Raw genomic sequence first — 26,124 nt, forward strand, 5'->3', positions numbered from 1 at the left:
AAGCAGAGTCTCCGCGGGGGGAAGCTTGTTCCCTGAGAGGTGGCCGCAGACGAACCCACTGCTCAGTCTGGCATCCCGAAGCCGCTCCGCTCCTGGCTCTCCCCGCTGTTCCTGCGCGCAGCGGGGGCAGTGCCCCCACACCCACGCGTGATGGGAAGGCCGGCCTGGGGGTGGGAAGGCCCACCGAAATAGATGGTCCCCACACCTCACTGCTTCCTTGGATGTGGCTATTTTTTATGCCAGTGTTCTCCTGCTCTGACCCTACTTGAACTTGACCGCAACCGGCCCCGCCTTGCAGGCCACCCTCCCGCAGCAGAAAACTGTGCGGAGCTCGCGCTGTCCTCGCCTCCGCTGACCCCACCTCCATGTCCTCACAGACACTATTTTTTCACAACACAGCTCAGATCCCACCTTCTTCATGAGGTTATTCAACAAACACTATTAAACTTGTAAGATGTACCAGATCCTGAGTTGGAGGCTGAGAGGAGGACAAGAAAACTGCTCCCGTAGCCTAGAGGGAGGGAGAGTCGCTTAAACCACCTGATGCAGAATGCTGAGTGCGGAGACCAGGAGGTGGGTGCATCACAGAGGGTCATAAAGGACATGAGCTGCGCAGTACAGGAGGTGGAAGGAGGGGGTCACACGAACAGATGTCACCCGAGGCAAGTCCCCAACTCTTTCCCAGCTTTCAAAGCCTAATTTGATTAATATAGAGCATGCACCACCTGACTATACCTGTCAGAGCCAGAACTTACAAGTAAGACAGAAACAATGCCTATGGCCTTCAGTCATGCTAAGGCACCTATCTGACAAGCCTGCCAAACGCCATTGAACTCTAGTAGTTTTACTATTTACAATGAGGACATTTTACAACTCTTTTTAATGGAAAAGTTAACTTGTAGAAAACTAAGCTGAAAGCTTATTGTGTGTTAGCAAGACAAATGTTTTTCCAGTGGGGATAGAAGTGATCTCGTCCTGTAAAAATGCAAATGGGCCAGGCAGGGTGGCTCATGCCTATCATCCCAGCAGTCTGGGAAGCTGAGGTGTGAGAATTGCTTGAGCCCAGGAGTTCACCAACCCCAACCTGGGCAACACAGCAAGAACCTGTCTCCATTAAAACGTGTGTGTGTGTGTGTGTGTGTGTGTGTATAAGACAAATGACCCCTGCTTAAGGTGAGAATCATAACCAGCTTCCTATCTGATTGAGCCACTTCATTCCCAGCGTTTCCTTTCTCTTTTCTCCCCGCTTTTGACTGTGTGTGTAGGTCACTTGCCTGCATTCTCCTTTGAAGCACCTTTGTCATCCCACTGTTTCCATCATTAATGGGTTAAAATGGAACTTTGACTTGTGTCCACGATGTATTCGTGTGCAAATTGTGGTTCTGTTGCATTGTGAGCAACCTACTAGTGTCTGACATAACCTCCCTTCTGCATCTCTCTCTGCCTGGAAGATTGTTTTGCTGAGCTCGACTTCCTGTAATTTGTGCAAGTTTTTTTCCAAGAATAAAATTAGAACTGTGACTCTGCTTTCACCTCAGTCTGATACCTCTCCTGTGTGCTCTCTGTTTGGTCCTGAATGATGTGGTGGTTGCTTGGCATGGTTGGAGGATGGGGTGTAGGCTAACCAGCCAGGCTGTTTCCTTGAGCACAAATTATAAGGGCATCAGATACCACTGAAAAAGTTACAAGATAAAGCTGCATTCACTAGAACAACTGTTAAAGTTGGACTTGGGGTTAGAAGAAAGTTCTTGATGAGTTGTTTGGGGCAGGACTGGACATGTCCTGGTCTGCTCAGCTGCCCCTGAGGAGTAAGGACCCAGAGCCTGGAGCATGTGTGTTGCCAAAGGAAACAAATAAGAGAGAGACTGGGCTTGACCTGTAGCTTCCCTGCAAAACTGTGGAGTCTACATGAATGATGAACATGTATTTCATTTATTCAATAAATATTTATCTGCATCTGTTTTGGGCCAGGCACTATTCTGGACATTTCGGATACAGCCCTGAGTAAAATAGACAAAGCAGTGGCATAAAAGGCAGAGTGGCTGCTGTCATGCAGATTTCAATCTAGTGAGGGGTAACAGAGAATAGAATAAATAAATAAATATGTATATAAGTGCCAGAAAGAAAAATAAATTGAGTGAAACATTTGGAAGGTAAGACTGAGTGTAATTAAAAATACAAGGGTCGGCCGGACACAGTGGCTCATGCCTGTAATCCCAGTACTTTGGGAGGCCGAGGAGGGCAGATCACCTGAGGTCGGGAGGTCGAGACCAGCCTGACCAACATGGAGAAACCCTGTCTCTACTAAAAATACAAAATTAGCCGGGCATGGTAGTGCATATGTCTGTAATTCCAGCTACTCGGGAGGCTGAGGCAGGAGAATCGTTTGAACCCGGGAGGCAGAGGTTTTGGTGAGCCGAGATCGCACCATTGCACCCCAGCCTGGGCAACAAGAGCTAAACTCCGTCTCAAAAAAAAAAAAAAATAGGAGGGCCAGGCCAGGCCCCTATGGCAAATTGCCAGGAGCAGAGACCCAAAGGTAGGAAAGGGGGCAAAACAAGACTATTAATCAAAGCTTTGAGGCAGGAAAAACGGGCCTGAGGAATTTCCTGACAGGATCGGTGAGGCTGGAGCTCTGTGCTCCCTTAGCAGGGGTAGAATCTGAATTCAAAGAAGAAATGGACGCTCAGATTTGTAGTCCATTATAAGGATCTTGGATTTAGTTCTGAAAGAAATGGGATATCATTTGAGGATTTTGAGCTGAAAAGTAATGTAATCTGGCTTAAGCCTTCAAAGCATCAGCCCTAGTGCTGTGTAGAAAACAGACTAGGGCAGGGTTGGGAAGGGTGGAGGGAAGGGTGGAGGCTGGAAGAGCAGTGAGGAGATGGATGTGATGTTGATACCAGTGGGCTAGGGGAGGTCCCCCAAATGCCAAGGGGATCTTGACCTCCGCCGGTGTCCAGCCTCTTGACACCATCACAAGAAGGAATTCAAGGATGAGTCGAAAATAGTGAAAGTATGATTTATTGCAAAGCAAAAAGCACTCAAGAAAGCGATTGCTGGCATACTCAAGAGAGAGTTGTGCAAATGGAGTTTGGGGCTGCTACTACCTTTATGGGTTTCTTTAATCAAGAGGTGGAATATTCATGAAAATTTCTGGGAAAAGGTGGAGAGTTCTTGGAACTGTGATGCAACCCATTTGTACACCAAATGTGGGTGTTCTTGGAACTGTTATGGCACTGGTAAGTGTGTGATTTAGTATGTTAATGAGTGTATAATGAAGTCCTAGGTGAAACCTGGGTCAAGCCCAGTGCTATGTTGGATCCAGTCAGTCTTAGCCAGCTTGGTCCACACCTTCGTTTTTCGGGGTCTTAACAGCCCACAGCCTCTAGTCATGTGAAACTGCTCCCTGGAATTTTTTATTCTCCTGTGATCACCCTGTTTTATTCTTGTGTCAATGTGGTCCTTGTGCCAACAAAAAAGAGTCAACCTTTGTAAAATATTTGAAGAGATTTATTCTGAGGTAAATATGAGTGGCCAAAGCCCAAGTCAGTCTCAAGAGGTTCGAGAACATGTGCCTAAGGTAGTTGGGTTGCAACTTGATTTTATACATTTTAGGAGAACAGAAGTTACAGGCAGACATCAATCAATACACGTAAGGTGTACATTGGTTTGGTCTGGAAAGGCAGGAAAACTTGAACTGGGGATTAAGGGGCCTTCCAGGACATAGATATTTTCAAAGATTTTCTGTTTGCCAATTGGTTGAAGAAGTTAAGTTATTATCTAAAGACCTGGAAACAACAGAAAGTCGTGTCTGGGTTAAGATGAGGCTTGTCCCACCTCCTGTCCCATCATTGCCTGAACTAGTTTTTTAGGTTTCCTTTGGGATTCCCTTGGCTGAGAGGAGGGATCCATTCAGTTAGTTGGAGTCTTAGAATTTTATTTTTGGTTTACACTCACACTCCCTGGTGTCTGCATTCAGCCCTCTGTATCATAGTTGTTTAAGTGGCTATTTCTCCATTTAGATTCCAGGCAAGGGATGAGGTGACTTGTTGTGTTAAATCAAGTTTAGCCTAAAGTTCATACATGTTTAAGTTCAACCTAAAGATTTTTCTGTTCATGGTGAACTATAACAAGTGGAGGTGGAAACAAACCATAGCCTACACTTGTGCCAATCAACAAGTTTTGGCCAATCAAATGTAGCCAAGTGTTCAAACTGTGTTCAAATAAGGCAAACGCTGAGTTGCAACCAATCCAGCAGTTTCTGTGCCTCACTTCTGTTTTCTGTAGATGACTTTCCTTTTTCTATCCATAAATCTTCCACCATGTGGCTGCGCTGGAGTCTCTGGGCCTACCCTGGCTCAGAGGGCCGCCTGATTCATGAATCGTTCATTGCTCAATTAAAGTCATTTAAATTTAATTTGACTTCAGTTTTTGTTTTTGTTTTATTTATTATTATCATACTTTAAGTTCTAGGGTACATATACACAATGTGCAGGTTTGTTACATATGTATACATGTGCCACGTTGGTGTGCTGTGCCCATTAAATCGTCATTTACATTACATATATCTCCTAATGCTATCCCTCCCCGCTCCCCCCACCCCACGACAGGCCCCAATGTGTGATGTTCCCCACCCTGTGTCCAAGTGTTCTCATTGTTCAATTTCCACCTGTGAGTGAGAACATTTGGTTTTCTGTCCTTGCGATAGTTTGCTGAGAATGATGGTTTCCAGCTTCATCCATGTCCCTAAAAAGGACATGAACTCATCCTTTTTTATGGCTGCATAGTATTCCATGGTGTATATGTGCCACATTTTCTTAATCCAGTCTATCATTGATGGACATTTGGGTTGGTTGCAAGTCTTTGCTATTGTGAATAGTGCTGCAGTAAACATACGTGTGCATGTGTCTTTATAGCAGCATGATTTATAATCCTTTGGGTATATGCCCAGTAATGGGATGGCTGGGTGAAATGGTTTTTCTAGTTCTAGATCCTTGAGGAATCGCCACACTGTCTTCCACAATGGTTTAACTAGTTTACACTCCCACCAACAGTGTAAAAGTGTTCCTATTTCTCCACATCCTCTCAAGCACCTGTTGTTTCCTGACTTTTTAATGATCGCCATTCTAACTGGTGTGAGATGGTATCTCATTGTGGTTCTGATTTGCATTTCTCTGATGGCCAGTGATGACGAGCATTTTTTCATGTGTCTGTTGACTGCATAAATGTCTTCTTTTGAGAAGTGTCTGTTCATATCCTTTGCCCACTTTTTGATGGGGTTGTTTGATTTTTTCTTGTAAATTTGTTTAAGTCCTTTGTAGATTCTGGATATTAGCCCTTTGTCAGATGGGTAGATTGTAAAAATTCTCTCCCATTCTGTAGGTTGACTGTTCACCCTGATGGTAGTTTCTTTTGCTGTGCAGAAGCTCTTTAGTTTAATTAGATCCCATTTGTCAATTTCGGCTTTTGTTGCCATTGTTTTTGGTGTTTTAGTCATTAAGTCCTTGCCCATGCCTGTGGCCTGAATGGTATTGCTTAGCTTTTCTTCTAGGGTTTTTATGGTTTTAGGTCTTACGTTTAAGTCTTTAATCCATCTTGAATTAATTTTTGTATAAGGTGTAAGGAAGGGATCCAGTTTCAGCTTTCTACATATGGCTAGCCAGTTTTCCCAGCACCATTTATTAAATAGGGAATCCTTTCCCCATTTCTTGTTTTTGTCAGGTTTGTCAAAGATCAGATGGTTGTAGATGTGTGGTATTATTTCCGAGGGCTCTGTTCTGTTCCATTGGTCTATATCTCTGTTTTGGTACTAGTATCAAGCTGTTTTGATTACTGTAGCCTTGTAGTATAGTTTGAAGTCAGGTAGCGTGATGCCTCCAGCTTTGTTCTTTTGGCTTAAGATTGTCTTGGCAATGTGGGCTCTTTTTTGGTTCCATATGAACTTTAAAGTAGTTTTTTCCAATTCTGTGAAGAGTCATTGGTAGCTTGACAGGGATGTCATTGAACTTATAAATTACCTTGGGTAGTATGGCCATTTTCACGATATTGATTCTTCCTATCCATGAGCATGGAATGTTCTTCCATTTGTTTGTATCCTCTTTTATTTCATTGAGCAGTGGTTTGTAGTTCTCCTTGAAGAGGTCCTTCACATCCCTTGTAAATTGGATTCCTAGGTATTTTATTCTCTGAAGCAATTGTGAATGGGAGTTCACTCATGATTTGGCTCTCTGTTTGTCTGTTATTGGTGTATAGGAATGCTTGTTATTTTTGCACATTGATTGTATCCTGAGACTTTGCTGAAGTTGCTTATCAACTTAAGGAGATTTTGGGCTGAGACGATGGGGTTTTCTAAATATACAATCATGTCATCTGCAAACAGGGACAATTTGACTTCTTCTTTTCCTAATTGAATACCCTTTATTTCTTTCTCTTGCCTGATTGCCCTGGCCAGAACTTCCAATACTATGTTGAATAGGAGTGGTGAGAGAGGGCATCCCTGTCTTGTGCCAGTTTTCAAAGGGAATGCTTCCAGTTTTTGTCCATTCAGTATGATATTGGCTGTGGGTTTGTCATAAATAGAGCTTATTATTTTGAGATACGTCCCATCAATACCTAGTTTATTGAGTTTTTAGCATGAAGGGCTGTTGAATTTTGTCAAAGGCCTTTTCTGCATCTATTGAGATAATCATGTGGTTTTTGTCTTTGGTTCTGTTTATATGATGGATTACATTTATTGATTTGTGTATGTTGAACCAGCCTTGCATCCCAGGGATGAAGCCAACTTGACTGTGGTGGATAAGCTTTTTGATGTGCTGCTGGATTCTGTTTGCCAGTATTTTATTGAGGATTTTTGCATCGATGTTCATCAGGGATATTGGTCTAAAATTCTCTTTTTCTGTTGTGTCTCTGCCAGGCTTTGGTATCAGGATGATGCTGGCCTCATAAAATGAATTAGGGAGGATTCCCTCTTTTTCTATTGATTGGAATAGTTTCAGAAGGAATGGTACCAGCTCCTCCTTGTACCTCTGGTAGAATTCGGCTGTGAATCCATCTGGTCCTGGACTTTTTTTGGTTGGTAGGCTATTAATTATGCCTCAATTTCAGAATCTGTTATTGGTCTATTCAGGGATTCAACTTCTTCTTGGGTTTAGTCTTGGGAGGGTGTATGTGTCCAGGAATTTATCCATTTATTCTAGATTTTCTAGTTTATTTGCATAGAGGTGTTTATAGTATTCTCTGATGGTAGTTTGTATTTCTGTGGGATCGGTGGTGATACTGCCTTTATCATTTTTTATCACATATATTTGATTCTTCTCTCTTTTCTTCTTTATTAGTCTTGCTAGTGGTCTATCAATTTTGTTGATCTTTTAAAAAAACCAGCTCTTGGATTCATTGATTTTTTGAAGGGTTTTTTGTGTCTCTATCTCCTTCAGTTCTGCTCTGATCTTAGTTATTTCTTGCCTTCTGCTAGCTTTTGAATGTGTTTCCTCTTGCTTCTCTAGTTCTTTTAATTGTGATGTTAGGGTGTCAATTTTAGATCTTTCCTGCTTTCTTTTTTGGCAGTTAGTGCTAAAAATTTCCCTCTACACACTGTTTAAATGTGTCTCAGAGATTCTGGTATGTTGTATCTTTTTTCTCATTGGTTTCAAATAACATCTTTATTTCTGCCTTCATTTCATTATGTACCCAGTAGTCATTCAGGAGCAGGTTGTTCAGTTTCCATGTAGTTGAGCAGTTTTGAGTGAGTTTCTTAATCCTGAGTTCTAGTTTGATTGTACTGTGGTCTGAGAGACAGTTTGTTATAATTTCTGTTCTTTTACATTTGCTGAGGAGTGCTTTACTTCCAACTATGTGGTCAATTTTGGAATAAGTGTGATGTGGTGCTGAGAAGAATGTATATTCTGTTGATTTGGGGTGCAGAGTTCTGTAGATGTCTATTAGGTCTGCTTGGTGCAGAGCTGAGTTCAATTCCTGGATATCCTTTTTAACTTTCTGTCTTGTTGATCTGTCTAATGGTGACAGTGGGGTGTTAAAGTCTCCCATTATTATTGTGTGGGAATCTAAGTCTCTTTGTAGGTCTCTAAGGACTTGCTTTATGAATCTGGGTTCTCCTGTATTGGGTGCATATATATTTAGGATAGTTAGCTCTTCTTGTTGAATTGATCCCTTTACCATTATGTAATGGCCTTCTTTGTCTCTTTTGATCTTTGTTGGTTTAAAGTATGTTTTAAACCATACTTTAAACCTAGGATGCCTAGGATGGCAACCCCTGCTTTTTTTTGTTTTCCATTTGCTTGGTAGATCTTCCTCCATCCCTTTATTTTGAGCCTATGTGTGTCTCTGCACGTGAGATGGGTCTCCTGAATACAGAACACTGATGGGTCTTGACTCTTTATCCAATTTGCCAGTCTGTGTGTTTTAATTGGAGCATTTAGCCCATATACATTTAAAGTTAATATTGTTATGTGTGAATTCGATCCTGTCATTATGATGTTAGCTGGTTATTTTGCTCATTAGTTGATGCAGTTTCTTCCTAGCACTGATGGTCTTTATAATTTGGCATGTTTTTGCAGTGGCTGGTACCAGTTGTTCCTTTCTATGTTTAGTGCTTCCTTCAGGAGCTCTTGTAAGGCAGGCCTGGTAGTGACAAAATCTCTCAGCATTTGTTTGTCTGTAAAGGATTTTATTTCTCCTTCACTTCTGAAACTTAGTTTGGCTGGATATGAAATTCTGGGTTGAAAATTCTTTTCTTTAAGAATGTTGAATATTGGCCCCCACTCTCTTCTGGATTAGAGGGTTTCTGCAGAGAGATCCTCTGTTAGTCTGATGGGCTTTCCTTTGTGGGTAACCTGACCTTTCTCTCTGGCTGCCCTTAATATTTTTTCCTTCATTTCAACTTTGGTGAATCTGACAATTATGTGTCTTGGGGTTGCTCTTCTCAAGGAGTATCTCTGTGGTGTTCTCTGTATTTCCTGAATTTGAAGATTGGCCTGCCTCGCTAGGTTGGGGAAATTCTTCTGGATAATATCCTGCAGAGTGTTTTCCAACTTGGTTCCATTCTCCCCGTCACCTTCAGGTACACCAATCAGACGTAAATTTGGTCTTTTCACATAGTCCCATATTTCTTGGAGGCTTTATTCGTTTCTTTTTACTCTCTCTTCTCTAAACTTCTCTTCTCATTTCATTCATTTGATCTTCAATCACTGATACCCTTTCTTCCAGTTGATCAAATCGGCTACTGAAGCTTGTGCATGCGTCACATAGTTCTCGTGCCATGGTTTTCAGCTCCATCAGGTCATTTAAGGACTTCTCTACACTGTTTATTCTAATTAGCCATTCGTCTAATCTTTTTTCAAGGTTTTGAGCTTCTTTGCAATCGGTTCGAACATCGTCCTTTAGCTTGGAGAAATTTGTTATTACTGATCACCTGAAGCCTTCTTCTCACAACTTGTCTAAGTCATTCTCCGTCCAGCTTTGTTCCGTTGCTGGCGAGGAGCTGCATTCCTTTGGAGCAGGAGAGGCTCTCTGATTTTTAGAATTTTCAGCTTTTCTGCTCTGGTTTCTCCCCATCTTTGTGGTTTTATCTACTTTGGTCTTTGGTGATGGTGACGTACAGATGGGGTTTTGTGTGGATGTCCTTTCTGTTTGTTAGTTTTCCTTCTAACAGTCAGGACCCTCAGCTGCAGGTCTGTTGCAGTTTGCTGGAGTTCCACTCCAGACCCTGTTTGCCTGGGTATCAACAGCAGAGGCTGCAGAACAGTAAATATTGCAGAATGGCAAATGTTGCTGCCTGATCCTTCCTCTGGAAGCTTTGTCTCTGAGGGACACCTGGCTGTATGAGGTGTCAGTCGGCCCCTACTGGGAGGTATCTCCCAGTTAGGCTACTCGGGGGTCAGGGACCCATTTGAGGAGGCAGTCTGTCCATTCTCAGATCTCAAACTCCATGCTGGGAGAACCACTACTCTCTTCAAAGCTGTCAGACAGGGACGTTTAAGTCTGCAGAAGTTTCTGCTGCCCTTTGTTCAACTATGCCCTGCCCCCAGAGGTGAAGTCTACAGAGGCAGGCAGGCCTCCTTGAGCTGCGGTGTGCTCCACCCAGTTCGAGCTTCCCGGACGCTTTATTTACCTACTCAAGCCTCAGCAATGGCGGATGCCCCTCCTGCAGCCTCACTGCCACCTTGCAGTTCGATCTCAGACTGCTGTGCTAGTAGTGAGCGAGGCTCTGTGGGTGTGGGACCCTCTGAGCCATGCGCAGTATATAATCTCCTGGTGTGCCATTTGCTAAGGCCTTTGGAAAAGCACAATATTAGGGTGGGAGTGACCCAATTTTCCAGGTACCATCTGTCTTGGCTTCCCTTTGCTAGGAAAGGGAAATCCCTGACCTCTTGCGCTTCCTGGGTGAGACAATGCCCCACTCTGTTCCACTCCATGGGCTGCACCCACTGTCTGACAAGCCCCAGTGAGATGAACCTGGTACCTCAGTTGGAAATGCAGAAATCACCTGTCTTCTGCATCGCTCACTCTGGGAGCTGCAGACTGGAGCTGTTCCTATTTGGCCATCTTCGACTTCAGTTTTTTAAATATCACTTGTAATAGGTGACAATCAAAATGAGTGACTGAGGCAAAAGTCTTAATCATCAAGGTTTATTCAGCCCTAGCCTTAGGGCATATCTGGGAAAAGCATAAGCCATAGACACGTCTGTGGCTGTTTTTCCAAAAAGGTATTCAGGAGGTTTTATAGTTACACATTTCCTTAAAGTGGGAACGGTGTGTCGGGAGAAAGGCACCTAGGTGGTAAGGTGAATGTATGGTTACATTCCTGTGAGACGTTAGTTGGTGCCCAATAACTCTACATTACATAAGATAAGGTGAACTCATGAAGAGAAAAAGAGAGTAAAGGAAGAGTTGGTTATGCAGATGTCTCTGAGTAGATGGAGGAACTACTGATCTCATCTTAACTTTGTTCTGCACCTGGGAAGATAAGCTTATAATCAACATGATCACTGTGGAATCCAACAGACTTTAGTTTTAGGAGGTAGACTTAGACTGCATACCTAACAGTTGTTACAATTGGCACATTCTTGTTAGTGGAAGACAGGCAAATGGTTTGCTCATGAATGGTTTGTGGGGGCAGCCCTGTGCAGGCACCTCACCTTTCCGTGAGGACCTGGCTGATGCATAAAGCTAGTCACACCTATTCCTTTGGAAGGGGGTGTTGCATGACTCAGCTTCCAGGCTTAACCTTCCCTTTCTCATAAGAAGTTTGGGGGTCCTGATTTTTTTTTCCTTTATATGGTAGTAGAAGTGGAGAGAAGTAGTTAGATTCTGGCTGTATCTCAAGACTGATTCTGATGATGAGTATGGGAAGCTGACACATGGCTGTTTTGATTTTTTTTTCTTTAATTACTAAAACCTTGAGTGAGATATCCAGCACAATGCACCTGAAGGATGTTGCCCAAAGTGTTCACAGGAATCAGATTTCAGGAATCCTGCCAGGTATATTGCAAGAAAGGCCTGACCCATTCAGATCAACAAAGTTACAAGCTTAGAAGAGCTTGTAAAAATAAGTAATAGCTGGGCACAGTGGTTCATGTCTGTAATCCCAGCACTTTGGGAGGCTGAGGTGGGTGGATCACTTGAGCTCAGGAGTTTGAGAGCAGCCTTGGACCACAGGACAAAACCCCATCTGTAATTTTTCCTTTTTTTTTTTTTGAGACGGAATTTTGCTCTTGTTGCTTAGGCCCCAGGCTGGAGTTCAATGGCACGGCTTCTGCTCCCTGCAACCTCCGCCTCCCAGGTTCAAGCAATTCTGCTGCCTCAGCCTCCCAAGTAACTAGGATTACAGGTGCATGCCACCATGACCAGCTAATTTTTTGTGTTTCTAGTAGAGACAGGGTTTTCCCATGTTGGCCAGGCTGTTCTCGAACTCCTGACCTCAGGTGATCCACCCGCCTCAGCCTCCCAAAGTGTTTGGATTACAGGCATGAACCACCGCACATGGCCCATCTCTACTTTAAAAAATATCTGTCTCTCTCTCTCTCTCTCTATATATATATATACATATATATATATATATTTTTTTTTTTTTTTCTGAAATGGAGTTTCACTCAGTCACCTGGCTGGAGTGCAGCGGCACGATTTCTGCTCACTGCAACCTCTGCCTCCTGGGTTCAAGCAATTCTTCTGCCTCAGCCTCCTGAGTAGCTGGGATTACAGGCAACCACCACCACGTCCAGCTAATTTTTTGTATTTTTAGTAGAGACGGGGTTTCACCATGTTGGCCAGGCTGGTGTCAAACTCCTGACCTTGGGCAATCCACCCACCTCAGCCTCCCAAAGTGCTGGGATTAAAGGCGTGAGCCACTGCACCTGGCCTAAAAAATTTTTTAAATAAGTAATGGCTGTCTGGACAGGATTTGTGAGGATCATCATCTTAAATAACGTTTTAAAAGTGTGTGTGTGTGTGTGTGTGTGTGTGTGTGTGTGTGTGTGTGTGTGTATGGAGGCTGGGGTGGGGGATGGGACAGTGGAGGGAACCAGCCAGGCATTATTTCCGATTTCAAGAGATGCAGAAAGAAGCCTCAGAGCTTCCCTTATCTGATTAAAAGCAGCAACTGCTGAGAAATGAGGCTGCCATAAATTCTCTTTTGGCAGGTCTACTCCCAGAAAGAAAAGCAAGAATACACCTGTTATAAATCCCCTCTCTGGTATAGTTTCATGGCCATGAAGAAGAGGGAAAGAACACTGCACTTGCAGAAACATATATCATTATGAAATTTTGTATCTTCTTTTTGTTCCCCTAAAAATCCACTTATTCTTCTTCCCTTAAGAAATCTATTTGCGGCCAGGTCTGGTGGCTCACACCTATAATCCCAGCAATTTGGGAGGCCGAGGTGGGCAGGTCATTTGAGGTCAGGAGTTCAAGGCCAGCCTGGCCAACATGATGAAACCCCTTCTCTACTAAAAAATACAAAAATTAGCCGGGCGTGGTGGCACGTGCCTGTAATCCCAGGTACTTTGGAGGCTGAGGCAGGAGAATCACTTGAACCCAGGAGGTGAAGGTTGCAGTGGGCCGAGATCACACCACTGCAACTCCAGCCTGGGCGACAAAGCAAGACTCCATCTCAAAAAAAAAAAGAAAGAAAGAAACCTATTTGCTCCTGTCTTAGAATAAATTTCTTCCCCCTCCCTTTCCTCCACTCGTTAGGTATGCTGTATAAGCCTCAAACTTTATACAATTAGAGAGCTGAATTCTTACATTAACTTGTCTTTTGTCATTTTAATCTACAGCCCCCCCCCCACAATGAACCTAAAAGGATAGAGAAAAATATTTTCTTTCCTGATAAATCTGGTGTAAGAATTGTTGAATGAAGAAATACAAAGATTGAGTGAGGCATGGGGAGGTTCTGAGATAATGATTTAGTTAATGATGCTTCTAAGATATGAATAATTGAAACAGTGGTGGTAGCTTTGACACTCCATTGCAAGTCTAGCCAAGCCAATTAAAAAACAAGAGTCTTAAATTTTTCTTCCACTAAATTTAAACAAATCACAGCTCTACTTAATGCTTTTAATGTTATTTTTTATTAAGACAACATAATTTATTAAATACTAGTGGCAAGGGAGGGAATTTTCAGTAGTAGGTCACATACTATAAGAACCCTTTGAATATGATAGAACCATTCAGCAACTCAGGAAAATAGATACTATTATGACTTTTTCACACATTAGTCACTACTATTCAGAGCAAGAAGTAACCTTCCCAAACCTGTCAACTAGCAGGAAATGAAGCTCCAAAGCCCATCCATCCTTCTCACACAGATAGAAAAGTTCCCTTGAGAGCAGTAAGCCGGGAAAGCTTTCCACACTCATGAAGTCCTCTATAAATTCACTGTAATACTGATGGTTTTTCAATCAGAAAAAACCAAACATCTAGATTTGTTAATGCTTCACTTTGCTTCATCATTTGGGTAGGTTTTACATCTCTTCCGTTCAACACACTGGAAAGGACAATCAAAATCTGCCATGCCCTTCACCCCGAGAAAGTCTCCACCCAGACCCTGGAGCCTGAAAGTTCTTGGGATTTTCTTGTCTCATCATTCACATGGCTGTGACAATATTCTACACTCCTGTGATGCCCTGTAGCCCTACCCAGACTCCAGCGTTTTTACTTCCATTACTCCCACCCCGGAGCCCCCACAGTGAGTGCTCTAAGACCCATTTATAAATGCCTCTTTCTTCCAGGGTCCATCTGAACCTCAGGGTCCTCTAGGATACCCAGGACCTCGAGGGTTAAGGTAACCGACCTCCTGGCTGGGGATAAAGGAATGTGTTCAGGGGAGCAAGATGGGGTCTCAAGAGTTTGGTCTTTTTAACCCACCTCTATCCCCTCACCACTCTACCTCTGTTCACCTCTAAGTCCAGGGTAGAGATGGAATTCGGAGTCTGAAGGGCCATGAGGGTGCAAAGGTGAGCACCGTGCCCCCAGCTTCCCAGCACCTCACTCCTGCCTGCCCCATGCTACCCTCTAGCTCCTGAGCCCACCCTTCCAGCCATGTTCTCAGAATCCTACATTAGAACCCCCAGCCCTCTCTCATCTGTGGGGTCCTCTCACCTCCGTCTTTCTCAAGGGAGAACGACTGTCTTGGATTCAAAGGTGACATGTGTGAAGGATATCAGGTTGAGTGAAGACCTCACGCTGGCCCCTACTCCGTGTCCTAATGATGCACTCTGGAGCCCCCAAGCACCAGTTCATTCCCTGGAGGCCCTGGGCTCCCCAGTGCTGTGCATCCTTGGGGGCCTGATCCCTGCAGGACTGTAACCCCATGGTCTGCAACACGCTGGCCATGGATGACGACACTATTCATACCCTTCAGCGTTCCCTGTCCCGCAATAGCTCCTGGGATCTACCAGCCCCACTCAGCCTCTCTGGTGACTGCTTCTCCTCTGGGCTCAGACCTCATCCCCAGACCCCAACGCTCACCTCTCCCACCCTCTCCCTCCCTGACTGTGCTTCCTCCACAGGGAACATCGGGTGGTGATGGCCTCCATGATCCCCCAGAGAAAGGGTGTGACTTGAGTGCCTTCTTCCTCTGTGCTCCCCAGGGAGCAGCAGCATCAGAGTGCTCCCAGGGTGCCAAAGGGACACACTGGACCAACTGGAGACCCTGGGCCCCCTGGATTCACAGGTGAGGAGGTGATAGGAGAGGGATCTGTGCCTGGGCACTCTAGGGATGAGGGCACATGAGGTCAGGGTGGGTGTGGGGGTGCCTGCAGCTACTGTCAGCCAGTCAATTAAAGATGGCTATGCATTCATTATGCTCCTCTCTCTGTATATGGCACCTCCTAGCTGACAATGGATTGAGGTGGGTATAGAAGAAGTCAAGGAAAAGCCCCTGTCATGAAGAGTTGGATGGAGACAGGCACAGAGTGGCCGCAGGTCCAAGCAGAGTGAACATGCGTCCAAACTGGCAGTGGCAGCCCCTAGAAGGGAGACACCAACAGCACCGAGATCTGTGGTCTCCAGAGCTGACATCTCCTGCACTTGCCACGTGCAGGCGCTGTGCGGGACCTCCTCTCCATCCTGTGAGGTGGGTGTGGACAGTCCTATTTTGCAGGTGAGGCTTTGCAGAGGCACAAGCAGGCCAAGTCATCACAGGGTCATCAAATGGCAGGGCAGGAACTGAGCCACAGTGGTTGAGCTGCAGAATCACTGCTCCCAACCCCCTGCTCCACAGCTGCCTGGGCTGGATGAGCCCTGGAGCAGCAGGAGGCATACAGGGGAGCTGGGTGCTGCACCGCATGGGCAAAGGGCCGGAGACGTGTGGGGAAACTAGTCCTGGTGAAGCAAGAGTGGGTGCTGGGGCAGATGGAGCTGAGGGTGGCAGATGGGCAGCAACTGGATCACAGCAACCTTGAAGGACTTGACGGAGCTGCAGGCACAGGGATGTCAGATCCCAGCACTAGAGTTGGAGAAAATTCACTCTTAGGAAGAAGGAGACTGGGTGTGCTGGCTCCTTCCTCACCCCAGGGAGGAAGCTGAGTTCCCCTGCCCAGCACCTGCCCCATTCTCCTGACTCTGTCTACCTCTGTCTCTAGGGTCTCCCTGAACTCAGGGTCCCAATGGATTTCCTGGCCCCAAAGAGCCCCTGGTGAGTTGTCACCCGAGCTCTGACCCACCCCTGGTTCTCTGAGTCCTTCCCTGCCTCCTTCCAGCCCAGAGTTCACCTGACATCTGGACTCCTTCCAGGGCACCCTGGGAATGACAAGCTGCCGGGACACTCAGGCCAGAGAGGAAAGGTGGTGAGGGAGACCCCTGGCCACCAATTCTCAGGAGGCCCCTCAAATGCCAAAGCTGTCTGGGAGGCCCACAGAGACATTTTCTGAGCAGAACAGAGCCTGCCCTAATGCTGTCCACACCCACGGGCCGAGGCTTGATGTGACCTTGTTCCTCTTCTGGAGCCCAGGCATCTACCCTACAGCACCCACTGCACTCCCCCCTTTTCCTCTCAGGGTTTCCAAGGGGAGAGCAGCCCCCGTGGCCCCCCATATGTGGTGGGACCTCAGCTAGGTCTGTTCCCAGGAGAGAACGGCTCCCAGACCCTGGAGTTAAGTCTGTCTGGCTCTCTTCTCTCAGTCACACACCCCTGCCTCTGGCTCGCATGTCTGGAACAGGTAGCTGGGGACTTGAGGGGGCTCAGAAATCTCTCTTTTTAATTTGGCAGCACGGATGGCTGTCGCTCCTCACCTCTCCTTTTCTTTTAGGGTGTCCATGGGGTTCAAGGGAAGGATGTTCCTGGTCTGAGGGGCTTCCCAGGAGAGAGAGGCCTCCTAGGCACTGCTGTGAGTGTGACTCCCAGAGCCCTGCCTGGACCAAGGACCAAGTGACCTGAACCCCTCCCTGACCCTGACCCTGCTCCATGCCACTCCCCACTCCCATCTCTCTGAACCTATCTCCTCTCGCCAGCCCTCACCCTTCTCTTTTCTGTGAAGCTCCACCTTCCCCAAATCTCTGCTTCAGAGTGTGGACCCAGCTTGAAGAGGAATGAGGTCCAGTTGGCCCCCTTACCCTGCAGGGAGCCTGGGGTTCCTGGGGAGTGGGAGGAGGGAACTAGGAAAGGGGGTGTTGAGGCAGGGTGGAGGTGGCATCCAGATCTACGCAGGTGCTGTGGGACTGGGCAGAGGGAATCTAGAGTCAGCCAGAATGCAGCTGATTTGGGGCTCTTCTCCTGGGAATTGTGCTCTGAGGGCCCTGGTATGAGTGGGCTTGGGTCTTCCTCCCTGGGGATCTCACTCATCTCAACTTTCAGGGTTCCCCCCTAGGGAGTGAGGTGCAGCAGGATCAAGGGACCCATTGCCCCCCGCCAGGGTGCCCAGGCCCTCAGGAACCCCCTGGATCAGCAGGAGAGACAGGTGTCCCAGTGAGAGTGGGGACCTTGGGAGTGGTTCTTGGGGAGGGGTCTGTGGGCTGAGGGGTGATGGGCTATGAAAGGTTTCCTGTGGGTGTTTGAGGGTGAGGGTCACCTCCAGGCCATGACTCCTCCTTCCTGCCCCACAGGGTGAAAAGGGCCCCATTTGTCTGCCTGGCTGTGATAGGGTGCAGAGTCCTGTGTGACTTCCTGGTCCTGCTGGGCCTCCAGGTGTGGCTGGAGAAGATGGAGACCAAGAGGAGAACCCCAGAGAACCCGACCAATCTTCTCTCCACATGAGAGGGCTGAGGTGGGCTTGACTCCTGAGCTCTATCATTTCCTCCCTCTGGTATCTCCTGTGCCTTCTCCTCCAGGATGAGGTGGGGGACCCCAGGAAGAAGGGCATCAAAGTGTCCATGACCTTGACGCCCTGGCCTTTAACCTCATTCCCTCCTGGTTCCTCCCTGCCTTGGTGTTTCTGACTCTCGTCTCTCCCCCAGGGCCCTCCTGGACCCCCTGGACTCACTGGTCCATGGAACAGCCTGTAGCAGTGGTGAGTGAACCCTCGGCCCCCACGCAAGGCCCTGGCAGCCTCTGCTCTGCCTTCAACTCCCCTTTGCCCCTGAGGCTGGGTTTGGGAGTGGGGTCTCTGGGCCTGGTACCCAGCTATGTATGGGGTTCGTGAATAGAGAATGCCTGACCCATGACCCATGTCTATGTCCTTGTCCCTGCTTCTCTCCTTCCCCAGGGAGCAGATTGGGAGCCCAGAGCTCAGGGACCCCAGGGACACTTTGGAGCCAGAGTGTGGGGAGCCAAAGGCAATAAAGGTAGAACAGGATTCATGAATCTATAGGTGAGATGCGGCTGGGGACGGGCTGAGAGGCAGTGTCAGGATGGGGTGATGTGTGTCCCAGACCCTGCCAGCAACATGCTTTAAGGACTGGGTTGGTGGGGGCAGAAGCCTGGGGGCCATGTGGGGTCTGAGTGGAGGGGCTGTGGGACCCATCAGTCTAGGGCTGTGCTTTGGGTGGGTGGTCACCTGGGTCCATGCTTTCTGCACCTGCATAGCGTGTGCCAGGTCCCTCTGGGGAGAAGGGAGAAACAGGAGATGTGGGTCCTATGGTGAATGTGACCCCTACTGACCCCAGACCCCAAATGGTCACCCCTGCCTGGCCAGCCCCCACCCCACTGCTGCCTCCCTGCCCTGACTGCTCTTCCTCCCTCCACACTCCTTCATTGTGCCATTTCACTTCCCTTCCCCACCTCTGGTGTATCTGTTCCCCTGCAGGGACTACCTGGACCCAGTGGCACTGGTGTGAGTCATCCCAGCCCCTGCCACTTCAGAGCAATGAGTCTGATCCTCTGCGTCCCTTTCCTCAGATCATAAACTCTTCGCCCCTGAGAAGCCCCTTCCCCTGGGAGGCCCCCACTGTCCCACTGCCATAACCTTGGGATGCTCATCTGGGCCTCTGCCCCTGCAATAACCCCACCTCCTGAAGCGATGTCACCTATTTCTCTTCCTCTTTCAGGGTCCACAAGATCCCCTGGGAGGTGTTGGGGCCCTGGGTCCCCCTGGAGAGAAGGTAATTGGGAAAGGGATGAAGGGGACCAGTCTTGTGGATGAGGAATGACAGTTGGATTTCTGCCAATTTTTTGTTGAGGAGACAAAAGAGAATAAAATGTGAGAAATACCAGGATTTTGTGAGGGGGCAATGAGGTTTTTGACCCCAATCTCTTTGCTCCTGGAGCCAGGAGAGTCAGGATCTCCAGGAATCCAGGGTGAGCCGGGTGTCAGGTGAGTGACAGCTCCAGGGCCCTGCTTCAGAATTCCCTTCACCCCTCTCAGCTGCACCCCCCCTCTTTTCCTGTGACTTCCTTGAGTTGTAGCTCCTCTGCGGCCAGGAGTCTCTGCTCCCAACCATCCTTGGAGTGAGGCTTTCCACCCTGTCCTTGAACGGAAGGGGACCAGGGGACTCCCCTTATAGGCTAGACTTTCTATGTGTATCCCATTGTCCTCAAGGGCAGTAGGGAGTGACTAAAGGTGTCTTGGAAGCAGGGGCTGCATCCCTGTTCTTCAAGACCCTCTGTGCCCTCCACTTGTTCTGCAGGGTACACATGGGGAGTGTGGGGGGAAAGGAGAGTCAGGGCAGCCAAGTTTCTGGGAATATGGGTATCTGTGAGTAAGGATCTTGGACTGTGGGGAGCCTGGGAATGGGGGGATGCCTGGGAGGGAGGCTCTGGGAATGGGGTATCCTGGGAGGATGCATGGGATCTGGAGTCCAGAGAGAAAGTGAGAGATACCCTGTGGCTAATACCATAAGGCATTAGACAGCATGAAGTGCTCGAGGTGGGGATAGGGGTGCAGAGACCTTCTTCCTAGGGAGGTGCCAACAGATGAGCCTGTAGGGAGGAAGAGGGTCTCATATGCCTGTGGGAGTCTGTGTTGGGTGGGCTTATGGGGCTGTGACCCTGACTCTTGTTCTCCCTCTGGATTAGGGTCTTGGTTTTCCTGGAGACCCTGGCCCCCCAGGAGAAGGTGGCTCATGTGAGTCTTACTGACAGAGGGGAAAGGATGAAGAGGTTGGGGCTTCTGTGGGGTGCCTCTGTGCAACTGATGGGCTTAGATGTTGGGAAGCTGGAGATATGGCAGGGCAAGCAGGGGAATGCAAGGCTTAGCAGTTTTAGGGGTGATGCCAGCTGGGTCTGGCCTTGCTTCATCCCTGCAGGACCAGGACAGTGTTAACGGTGACTATGGCAAGGATGGTGAGCCAGTACAGCCCGTGAGTGACCAATGTCCCTGCCACCCCCACTGAGCTCCAGCCTTCAGCCCCTTACCCCTCTTTTCTGTGCCCTACTCCTGAGGGGTCCCTTAGCTGGAGGCCAACACTCACCCACCCCAATTCCTCTCATTCTGTGGATCCTCTGGTCCCACTGGGGAGAATGGACTACCTGGACCACATGGAAAGCAGGTAAGTGAGGTAGAAGACCCTGGGACCTTGGGAGGTAGTCGCTGGGAAATGTGGGTAGAGGCTGGGTGGTGACAGGTGGCACTGACAGGGAGATGCCTGGTGTCTGTGCTGTCCCTGGATGTGGTGTGTTGCATGAGCACATGGGTTTATGAGTGTGTTGTGTCTCGGGCATGTTGCTCCTGGGTTTTTGTGAGCATGTTCTCACCAGGGCTGGTTACATGTACTGGCCAATCAGAATGGACACTGGAGGAGGGGCTGGCCGGCTTCTCTGCTGGGTCAGGGATTAACCTGGGCCACTGGGTGGGGCGTGGTTAAGGGGTTCTTCCCCAAGCATCCATGCTCCTCAGCATTTTCACAACGGACACAGCTCCATCTGTTCTGAACTCACACTCTGCTTCTGTGCCTGTGTGTGCAGTGTGTGCATGCAGTGTGTGCATGCAGGGTGTGCATGTGTGTGTGTGTGGAGTATGTGTGCATGTGTAGCACAGGAAGGGGAAGAGTGGAGCCTGGCTGTTCAGGACCTCAAGTTTTCTCCCTTCCTGTCCCATCTGCAGGGTCAGCTAAGAATAGCCATGACTCAAGGGTCAGCTAAGAATAGTCATGACTCAAGGGTCATTTAGGACACAGGAAGATACCAGATGAGGAAACTCTCCCCAAGTCCTAAACTCATTCACAAATTAGAACACATAGGTCCAGCCCAGGCACAGTGGCTGAAGCCTGGAATCCTCCCGCTTCCTGCTTCGGGAGACCAAGGCAAGAGGATCTCTCGAAGTGTGAGTTGGAGGCCAGCTTGGGCGACACAATCAGGAAAAGCAAGTGGCCACCAGGTGGCGCCCAAGAACTGGGCCCGAGTTCCCTGGGAGGAATCTGCACGCAGCCCTGGGATGGCACAGGGATGCCTCACGGGACACCTGGCCTCGTCCTGGTAGCCCCTTGCTTGCATTTCCCGGCCCTGGGGTGTCCTCCCCGACTGCACATGCATGTAGAGACCATTCCTCCTTCTCCAAAGAGGGATTTGGAACAATTCTCACATGACCTGACGAGGGACAGTGGCTGTGCTCAGGGTCCCTCTTTTGTCCTCAGAGCATGACCAGGCCTGTGGCTCTTGCTCATTGCCCAAGAGCATGGGAGGTTGCCCGTGGCAAGGCCCTGGAGGACCCTGCTGTGCTGCCTGGGACCAGGAGGCCCGGCTGCCTTCTCCCAGCACCTCTCCCAGTTAGGGTACTGTGCAGGAAATGGGTGCAGAGGCCATAGTGGTGGCTGCTCCTGGGGTCCCAGCAGCTCTAGCTGAGGCAGGAGGAACCAGGGAGCCCAGGAGGCTGAGGCCCCTGTCCTACTGCTCTGGTCGTGCTGCAGTCTCTGTCACCACCAACAACTGCAGTGAGGTGAGCCACTGGGCTGCAGGCTCTAGCCTCCAGCCTGTGACAGATGCCTCCTCTTTCTGACTCCTCCTGTAGCAGGGCACGGAGAAGCTCTCGCTCATCGCTGCCTCCTACCACTCCGAACATGCTGCAGTCTCGTTGACCACGCTGCAGTCTTGGTGGCCACCACCAACTGCAGGGAGCCTGGCCAGGTGCCGCAAGTTGCAGCCTCCACCTCCTCCTCTAAGTCGGGCTTGGAGCAGCAGCGGGAGCAGTCACAGAAGAGGCTGGAATGGTGGAATGCACCCTCAGTATGCATTATATATAGAGGTTTCGGCAATGAGGGCCTGGACTTTGTGTTCTGATTGGATGGGGGAAACCTCTAGGCTTTATCTTCATGCCCTGATTGGTTATCCTAAGAGTTGCTCTCATCCAGTCTTCTTTATAAGTGGTCATCTTTGTAAGTTCATGCCCACTGGGAGTTACTGAAGTTGTGAATGATTACATTTAAACTTATCCTGTAATTTTAGTCTGATTTATTAATTCCACCTATCTCCTTAAGCAAATTATTCTCTATAGTGATGACCCAAGCAAATTCCTGTCCCAAGATGGTATCAAGATGATACCCAAGTTCCTCTCCAGAATGGTATCTGGATATATGTGGAGGGAAATATTTTTTCTAGGCCTGTATTAAATATGGCACTAAAGCTTAGTGGCTTAAAACAATACACTGTTATTATCTCACAGCTTCTGTGAATAAGTAGTTCAGGAGAGTGTAGCTGGGTGATTCTTGCCAAGAGTCTCATAAGGTTGCAGTCAATCTGTTGGTGAGAATTGTAGTTACTTGAAGACTTGGAGTTGAAGAATTTATATCAAAGATGGCTTACTTATGGCAATTGGATGGAAGCCCCAGTTTCAGAATGGCTGCTGGCAACAGGTCTTTTTACTTGCCACATGGACCTCTCCATAGGCTGACTGAATGTCCTCCCAATGTGTCATCTGGCTTTCTCCAGTGCAAAAGATCAAAGAAGAGAGTATGAAGGAACCCGTAATGCTCTTTATAATTTTGTCACAGACCGTCACTTCTGCCATACTCTATTGTTTAGAAGTTAGTCATTAAGTCCAGCCCACACTCAAAAGAACGAGAATTAACCTCCACCTTTGGAAGAGAGGCTAGTCAAAGCACTTGTGGACATGTTTTGAAACCACAAAGGGGTATGGCTGCCAGTCTCCAAGATGGCCGCCAGTGATTCTCATCAGCTGTTATTAATACATTTGTATAGTCCCTTCCCACAAGAAAAAAGAGTTGATCTGTTTAATTAGTATTATTTTGTTGAAATGACAGAGTCTGACTTGCAAGTTTAGGTCATAAGAAGAATTTTGACTTCTGCCTTATTCTCTATTGGATCAATATCCCTAGGGGAAGCTAGATGCAATGTCATGAAATCATTCAAACAGTCCCATGGAACAATCCATCTAGCAAGGAACTGATATCTCCTAGCAATAGCTGGCATTAACTTACAAGTCGTATGAGTGGGCCATCTTAGAATTGGATTCTTCAGTCCAAATCAAGTCTTCAGATAACTGTAGCCCTGGCTGACATCTTGATTACATCCTCAAGAGAGACCCTGAGCCAGAATCACTCAGTTAAGCCACTGAGTTCTTTTTGCCAAAAACTTTTTTTTTACCAAGTTCTTTTTGCCACCAACTTTATTGAGGTATAATTGACAATTAAGATTGTATATATTTAAGGAATACAACTTGATGATTTGATATACACATACATTGTGAAATAATCGTGATAATTAGGTTAACATATTCATTACTTCACATAAGTACCATTTTCGTGTGTGTGTGTGTGTGTGTGTGTGTGTGTGTGTGTGTGTGTGGTGAGAACACATGAGATGTATCCTCTTAGAAAATTTCAAGTATACAATATATTATTGTTAACTACAGTCATATTATTGTATACTATGTCTCCAGAACTTATTCACCTTGCGTAACTGAGATGCTGTACCCTTGACCAATGTCTCCCCCTTTTCTTCTCCCTCCAGCCCCTGGTAACTACCCTTCTACTTTCCAGTTCTATACATTTGACTCTTTTAGATTCCACACATAAGTCAAATTTTTGACCCTTAGGAGCTGGGTGAATAATAAATATTTATTGTTATTTTCAGCCTTATGATTTTAAGTTAATTTGTTATGCAGTAATAGAAGTTGCCACATGAAGCTATGACACTGGTTAACTCATTTATTCAGTAAACATTTGCTAAGAGCAGACTAAGTGCCAGGATCAATTTTATAATTGGGGGTACAGGGTTAAGTCAAAATGGCAGACTAGAAGCAGATCATGTGCACTGCTGTCATGGAGAGGAAACAAAATGGCTAGTGAACACTGATCTTGCCATGTGATCCCCTAAGAAACCACATCAGCATCCATGAAGGCAGCAAGGGGACACAGAGAGGAGAGAGGAGTGAAGCTGAGCAGCCCATCTGTGATCAGCATGGAGCTAGAAGAAGCTCCCAAACATAGGGAAAGAGTAAGTGATTGAGAGCCCCTGGGGGATTCACAGTCTTCACAGGGACCTGTGCAAGCCTTGGAACAGGAGAATCTCTTTGACCCACTCCCTGCACCTCTAAGCCAATGCAGAGAGCCACCCAGAGTTTTGTGGAGGCAACTCTCAAGTCCCTAGGGACTGCTGGAAGCCTTGGACCCTGGAACAGACCAGCACCAGTGCCATAGCCCCAACAGAGGCTGCAGTCATGGTACCCGAGGGCAGTAAGATTGCTCCACCCCAAATCACTAGACAAAGTTCAGCACCAGCCTCTGGCCCAATGGTCCTGCTTCTGTTTTCACTTCACCAACAGGTTCAGCCTCCTGTTCCTCCAGGAAACACCCAAACAACAGGATAGGCAACTTCACCCAATCCCTGCCAGTTGTAGCCAGGCAGGCCATACCTGCTAGAGCTTCCAGCCCCGTGGTACCACTTCTGTCTGAATTCTGCTGACAAGCACAGTCTCTTGTTCTCCTAGGAAACACCTTAATGGCATGGTGAGTGACTCCACCCACTGCCACTGCTCAAGGCCAGCAGCCCACACCTGCTAGAGTTTCCAGCCCAACAGTCCTGCTTTTATATGAACTCTGCAGGTGGGGGCAACTCCATGTTCCCCTGGGAAGCAGCTGGACAGCAGATTAGGTGACCCCACTCATCCCTGCAACTCCTAGCCAAGCAGTTCTTGCTGGCTTGGGTGGTGCCCAAGCAGTGGGGGAGTCCTCACTCTTGCATCACTAAAAGAAGTGAGATGCCCAAGTTCACAGGTCAGTGGAGGAGTGGGTTGTGCCTCCCTCTGTACAGCCATTCCGGAAAGGATATGACCTGTTTGCCAACTGTGGCCCCTGCATGAGGAAGCCCCATGGACGAGAACACCTAATAAAAGAAATACAGGCATGGAGTCAGTGATCAGAGGGGGCTCTTCCAAGGCTTAGGGGTGGACAAGGTGAGGGGGTCATCTCTACCCCACCCCCTAAAAAGCACTATGCTAACTTGAGGAAAACACAAAAGAGCTGTGCAGCTGAGAAAAGCCTATCTGCCTGTCCGCTGGCTAACACTTTTAAGTGCCACCTACTGGATCACAGCAGAAAATACAATACAAAAATATTTTGCCAGTACACAGCACCTGTGAAAACTAAGGCAAAGATTAAGCAACAAATAAACATTCTGTACATACTCGTGACCCTCTGAAAACACCCTAAAAAGAAGCCAACTGACTGTACTCAACTTACATCACAGTTAAAGGAACACTAACCCTTACACATGAAAAAGAATCGATGCAAAAACTCTGGCAACTCAAAAAGCCAGTGTGCCCCCTTACCTACAAACAAACACACTAGTCCCCCAGAAATGGTTCTTAGCCAGATTGAGATGACTGAAATGATGGAAATAAAATTCAAGATCTGGATGGCAAGGAAGATCGATGGGATCAAAGAGAAAGTTGAATCCAAGGAACCCAGTAAAACAATCCAGGAGCTGAAGGATTAAACAGCCATTTTAAGAAAGAACCAGCTGGGTGTGATGGCTCACGCCTGTAATCCCAGCACTTTGGGAGGCCAAGGCGAGTGGACTACTTGAGGTTAGGAGTTTGAGACCAGCCTGGCCAACATGATGAAACCCTGTCTCTACTAAAATACAAAAATTAGCTGGGCGTGGTGGCACACATCTGTAATCTCAGCTACTTGGGAGGCTGAGGCAGGAGAATCACTTGAACCCGGGAGGTGGAGGTTGCACAGGCTGGAGTGCAGTGGCACGATCTCGGCTCACTGCAAGCTCTGCCTCCCAGGTTCCCACCATTCTCCTGCCTCAGCCTCCCGAGTAGCTGGGACTAC

At 47.6% G+C, this 26,124-nt stretch overlaps 1 long non-coding RNA gene across 1 annotated transcript, besides 3 other annotated features; it reads left to right on the forward strand.

Annotated features, from left to right (window-relative positions):
* VOPP1-DT (VOPP1 divergent transcript) lies at positions 22 to 23,916 on the forward strand. The gene is made up of 17 exons (NR_187585.1): positions 22 to 573; positions 14,247 to 14,299; positions 14,422 to 14,471; positions 15,027 to 15,190; positions 15,352 to 16,153; positions 16,252 to 16,676; positions 16,767 to 17,414; positions 17,560 to 17,720; positions 17,911 to 17,963; positions 18,159 to 18,237; positions 18,699 to 18,725; positions 18,940 to 18,993; positions 19,163 to 19,205; positions 19,907 to 19,955; positions 20,137 to 20,379; positions 20,934 to 21,152; positions 21,840 to 23,916. It is a non-coding gene; the product is annotated as a VOPP1 divergent transcript (long non-coding RNA).
* Positions 1,141 to 1,220: an enhancer, noted in NCBI's record as "active region_26040". NCBI's record gives its function as "activates an Ori minimal core promoter by ATAC-STARR-seq in GM12878 lymphoblastoid cells {active_cell/tissue: GM12878}" and the evidence as "EXISTENCE:reporter gene assay evidence [ECO:0000049][PMID:35858748]".
* Positions 1,551 to 1,690: an enhancer, noted in NCBI's record as "active region_26041". NCBI's record gives its function as "activates an Ori minimal core promoter by ATAC-STARR-seq in GM12878 lymphoblastoid cells {active_cell/tissue: GM12878}" and the evidence as "EXISTENCE:reporter gene assay evidence [ECO:0000049][PMID:35858748]".
* Positions 20,636 to 21,135: an enhancer, noted in NCBI's record as "H3K4me1 hESC enhancer chr7:55661073-55661572 (GRCh37/hg19 assembly coordinates)". NCBI's record gives its function as "activates a minimal SCP1, AML or CMV promoter by ChIP-STARR-seq in primed H9 embryonic stem cells {active_cell/tissue: H9 hESC(primed)}" and the evidence as "EXISTENCE:reporter gene assay evidence [ECO:0000049][PMID:30033119]".
* Positions 23,917 to 26,124: the final 2,208 nt, after the last annotated feature.

Source organism: Homo sapiens, chromosome 7 (genome assembly GCF_000001405.40).
Source record: "Homo sapiens chromosome 7, GRCh38.p14 Primary Assembly".
In the NCBI taxonomy this organism is placed as follows: domain Eukaryota; kingdom Metazoa; phylum Chordata; class Mammalia; order Primates; family Hominidae; genus Homo; species Homo sapiens.